Below are 5,668 nucleotides of genomic sequence, written 5' to 3'. Positions count from 1 at the left end.
GTCGCCCAGGCTGGAGTGCAGTGGCGTGATCTTGGCTCACTGCAAGCTCTGCCTCCCGGGTTCACGCCATTCTCCTGCCTCAGCCTCCTGAGTAGCTGGGACTACAGGTGCCTGCCACCACGCCCAGCTAATTGTTTTTTTTTTTGTATTTTTAGTAGAGATGGGTTTTCACCATGTTAGCCAGGATGGTCTCGATCTCCTGACCTCTTGATCCACCTGCCTAGGCCTCCCAAAGTGCTGGGATTACAGGCATGAGCCACCGTGCCCAGCCAAAAAGAAATTATTTTTAAACCATAATTGCCTTTGCACCAACCTAAATAACAAATTGCTGAATTGCTTGTGTTTTCCAAGGTAAGGAGCCAGGATGAGGGGGAGAGAAGTTTCCTTGTTTTCAGAGTACCTGATGGCTTCAGGTTTACAAGTTTGGAGGACCTAAGTCCAAGCAAGGAGGAAGTGGACAGTGTTTAGGGGCCTGCAGGGAAGGGGGAGATATGGAAAGTGAGGAAGACAGAAGTTCATCCAGTGAGTGAGCCTGCGAACTGTGAAGCAAAGAGAGGAAGAAGAGAAGCTGTCAATCAGCAGGGAGATGGAAAGACTTGGGAGAGGGGATCTATTCATGGGAGCTCAGCAGGTTTTACTGTGGAGGTCTACAGTGTAAAACCCTCCTGCATTTCTGTACAAAATCTTTAGTAAACTCGACATGGCTCTAGAATACTTGTGGCATGAGTGGCCCCACTGGAAGGGCAGAAAGAGGTGCTGAATCCTACTGGATGGGTTGAGAAAATGTCAGCCTACACAGACAAGTGGAACTAGGAATCTGCCTTCTTACAGATGGGAAAACAGGCTCGAAGCCTGTAGGCTGCTTCCCAGGGCCACATGGCAGCAAGTTGCTGAGATCTTTCAGCTTCCAAAGCCAGAGTTCTTCCCACTCCAGTGTCCTTGGTCCATTTTGGTTGGCATCTCAGCAGCGACTTCAAAAATTTCAGCCTTAAAATGTTTTGTGTGTTTTTTCCACCAAATGGACCACTAGATAAATGTTTCATCTTCACATCTTTTTTTTTCTCTGTTCAAACACAAAATGAGTTGAAAACAACATAAGAGGGAATAAAAGAAACAAGCAAACGGAAAGTTCCGTAAGAATGAATATAATTGGAGCTAGGTCAAACACCGATGAAATCATGGACAAATGAAAAAGACAGGATGCTCGATTTTACTAGAAATCACAGGAGAGTGAGCAAATGCAGCCTTCCTTAGTCTTTCAGTTTAATAATGAGGAAAGCAGAAGTGGTTCTCCATGATAGTTCTGAGGAGTTGGGAAAGAACAACCATGGTAAATCAGAAAACATGTACTTCCAGGGTAGCATACTTAGTGATATAAACAAATTGTTGTTGTTGTTGTTGTTTTAAAGTTGGCTTCCCTAAAATAATGCCTGAAGGCTGGGGAGGGAGAGAAATGAATCAGAACCTAGAGACCGAATGCTTTTTGGTGTGCTCCTATTCTCGAGCTTCGGCTCAGACAGGGCATATGCATCATTTGAGGAGCAAATAGCTCACCTAGGGGAGCAGTTTCTGCAGCTCCCTGCCAATGCTGTTTTTCTGAATTGCTTATGTAGAAGTGCAAGAAAGTATTAGGATTGATCAGAAGAGCTGGTATCTTCGGCAGTGTCTCTTAACTTTTTTCTGGACTGAAAGATCTAAAATAAGCAAAAGACCTTCCTTATCATGTAATGGCACAGAGGCACATACAGATAAAGTTTGCATTTAAGTTGTCAGGGAGCAGAGATGGAAGGATGGGGATGGCAGGGCATGGAACTCCTAAAACCTCCTAGGCAGGGTTTCTCAGAGTGAGGTCCCTAGACCACCCTCATTCAAGAGACCCAGGATGCAAATTAAAAACACAGACAGGCTCTGGGACTTCCAGATTCCAGTATCTGCGTTTTATCCCACTCTTCAGGTGATTCTTATGTACACTAAAGTTTGAGAACCTTGTCCTAGCATGTCTGTGAAGCCAGGTTTAAAACTCCTGATTTAGAACCACCTAAGAGTGCTTATTTAAAATGCAGATTTATACTCAGAAACTGTGGTGGAGTAGGTCTAAAATGGGATCGAGAAATCTACATCTTAATCACCTGGGTGATTCTGGTGCGGGAATTCCAACACCATACTTGGAGCAATGGCCTGAAAGAACAACTCAGGAGAAGTTAGCATGGGAGTTTTTTGCCTGGTCTTGGTGTCCTCCATGAGCCTAGTGGTAGAGCCAACTCTCCATTACCCAGGCTTCTTCCATTATAGCTTCCCATTTTTTTTTAGAGCTAGCAATTACTTTTTTATTAGAAAAATTAGACTAGACTCATTTTAAAACATTTAATCCATATGTTGTCACGAATATGCAAAAGTACAAGTTGCTTATGCAAAAGGTATAAATTTTGTTACTCCTGTCACCAAAAATAAAGATGGGCTCAAAAGCAGAAAGTTACTTTTCTCAACTTTCAGAAGTACATTCTGTTTGTATTCCTGAAGGATTGAGTTTACCAGGTGGACTGATTTTGCATGCTTTGGAGTAGTATTATTCTGAACACAATGCGTTTCATTTTCATAATACTTTGTCACCAGCATTGCAACTGAAATTATTGTCTCTCCAGTTATTTGTGCAGTATCTTAAATTATTCGCTGCATATTTCGCTGCATATTATTTGCTGCATATTTCGCTTCACTTAAATTATTCGCTGCATATTTAAGAAACCCACAACTAAATGTAGAATTTCAAACATCTACTTGAGTGTAGATTACTCTCAATTGTGCAATTTGATGAATTCTAAACTGCCCTAGTCAATTTTTGCATTTCTCTGAAGATCTTAAAGTGGCATCCTTTTGCAGAAAACAAAATATATGACTTCACCTTCTATGAAATTAGAGAACTACAGTGTGGTCCTTCAGGCATTGAGGGTATGGCTTGAATGTGTGTGCTTACCACTTATTTTCCTGATAGGCTAACAAATACTTAGAGAAATCAAGAGACTTGACAAGAGCCCCACACACAGAACATGCTTCAGTGATGTTTATGCTCTTTGTTGCTAAAAGAGTCATGATGTGAAGATCTTCACTGTGAATTGCACTGTAGAGCCTATCTTCATTCCCTAGGCTTTAAATACCATCTATATGCTAATGACTTCCAAATTTATATCTCTCACACCACCCTCTTCCCTGAGCTCGACACTTATACATCCAGCTTGCTATTAACAGCTCCCTTCAGAAATCTCATTGGCATCTCAATACTGGCATGCCCCAGCCTTCGCCATCTAAGTCAAAGAAACCACAAGGCACCCAGTTGCTGATGCAAAAATCCCAAAGGCCTCTTCCCTTTCTCTGACCCCCACATCTCATAAAGAACCCCATGAATTATCCAGTAGGATATATTTTAAATTTAAAACTGAAGTTATTTCATTGCTAACTTTAAGACCTATCCTAAATCTAACTTCCCACCACAGTCCAAATGACTAACATCTCTCACTTTCACCACTGCAATTGCCTCTGGGCTGGGCTTTCTATTGACTATATGGCAGAATATTCTGTATTTTCCCCCTTTTATATGAAGTTTTTAATTTAATTTTTAATCAATCCATAACAGATGCACATAGTTTCAAAGTACATGTGATACTCTAATATAATCATATACTTTGTAAAAATCAAAACCGTGTACTTGGGATATTCATCACCCTAAATATTTGTCTTTTCTTTATGTTAGAACCATTCCAATTCTTCTCTTCTAGCTATTTTGAAATATACAATAAATTGTTGTAAACTAGAGTCACCCAACTGATCTAATACTGGGTCTGAATTCCTCTATCAAACTGTATATTTGTATCCACTAATCAAATTCTCTTCTTCCCCCACTCTTTCCTAGACTCTGGTAATCACCAGCTTACTCTATATTTGGGAGAAAAACTTTTTTAGTTTCACATATGAGTTAGAAGATGTAATATTTGTCTTTCTGTGCCTGGTTTATTTCACTTAATATAATGACCTCCAGTTTCATCCATGTTATTGCAAATGACAAGATTTCAATCTTTTTGTGGCTTAATAATATTCCATTGTATACGTATACCATATTTTCTTCCATTCATCCATTGATGGGCACTTAAGTTGATTCCATATTTTGGCTATGGTTAATAGTGCTGCAATAAACATGAAAGTGCAGATGTCTTTTCAGTATACCAATTTCCTTTCTTTTGGATATATACCCAGTAGTAGAATTGCTAGATCATATGATAGTTCTACTTTTTGTTTTTTGAGGAACCTCTATACTGTTCTCCATAGTAGCTATACCAATTTATATTCCCACCAACAATGTACCAAGGCTCCCCTTTCTCCACATCCTTGCCAGCATCCATTATTGCCTATCTTTTTGGTAAAAGCCGTTTTAACTGGGTGAGATGATATTTCATTGTAGTTTTCATTTGTATTTGTCTGATGATTCGTGATGTTGAGCATTTCTTTTTATAAACCTGCTGGTCATATGTATATCTTCTTTTGAGAATGCTCCTTCAGATCTTTTGCCCATTTTAATCAGATTGTTTTGGAGGTTTGCTATTGAGTTGTTTCGCCTTTTCATATATTCTGGTTATTAAGCCCTTGTCAGATGGATGGTTTGCAAATACTTTCTCACATTCTGGGGGTTGTCCCTTCACTTTGTTGATTGATTCCTTTGTTGTGCAGAAGACTTTTAGCTTGATGTAATTCCAATTGTCTATTTTTGCTCTAGTTGCCTGTGCTTTTGAGGTCTTACACAAAAAATCCTTGCCCAGACCAATGTCCTGGAGCATTTCTCCAACGTTTTTGTCTGGTAGTTTCATAGTTTCAGGTATTAGATTTAAGTCTTTAATCCATTTGACTTCATTTTTATATACAGTGAGAGAGAAGAATCTAGTGTTATTCTTCTATATATGGTTATCCAGTTTTCTCAGCAACATGTATTGAAGAGGTTGTCCTTTCCCCAGTGTATGTTCTTGGTGCCTTTGTCAAAGATGAGTTGGTTGTATGTGCATGGGTTTATATCTGGGTTCTGTATTCTGTTCCATTGGTCTATATGTCTGTTTTTATGCCCTACTATGCTTATTTGATTACTATAGCTTTGTAGTAAATTTTGAATTCAGGTGGTGTGATACCTCCAGCTTTGTTCTTTTTGCTCAGGATAGCTTTGGCAACTTGGGGTCTTTCACGGGTCCACATAAATTTTAGGATTATTTTTCTATTTCTGTGGTGAATTGTCATTTTGATAGGAATTACATTGAATCTGCACATTGCTTTGAGTAGTATTGTCATTTTAATGGTATTAATTCTTACAAGTCCATGAGCATGAAATATCATGGTTTCCATTTTTTGTGTTCTCTTCAATTGCTTTAATAAGTGTTTTATAGTTTTCCTTGTACAGATCTTTCAATTCTTTGGTTAAACTGATTCCTATGTATTTTGTATTCTTTATAGCTATTGTAAATGGAATGCTTTCTTGATTTCTTTTTCAGATTGTTTGCTATTGGTGTATATTAATGCTACTGATTTTTGTATGTTGATTTTGTATCCTGCAACTTTATTGAACTTATTTATCAGTTCTAACTTTTTTGGTGGAGTCTTTAGGTTTTTCTAAGCAAAAGATCATGTCATCCGCAAA

Source organism: Homo sapiens, chromosome 12 (genome assembly GCF_000001405.40).
Source record: "Homo sapiens chromosome 12, GRCh38.p14 Primary Assembly".
Lineage (NCBI taxonomy): Eukaryota > Metazoa > Chordata > Mammalia > Primates > Hominidae > Homo > Homo sapiens.
This window is presented reverse-complemented; position numbering follows the sequence as displayed.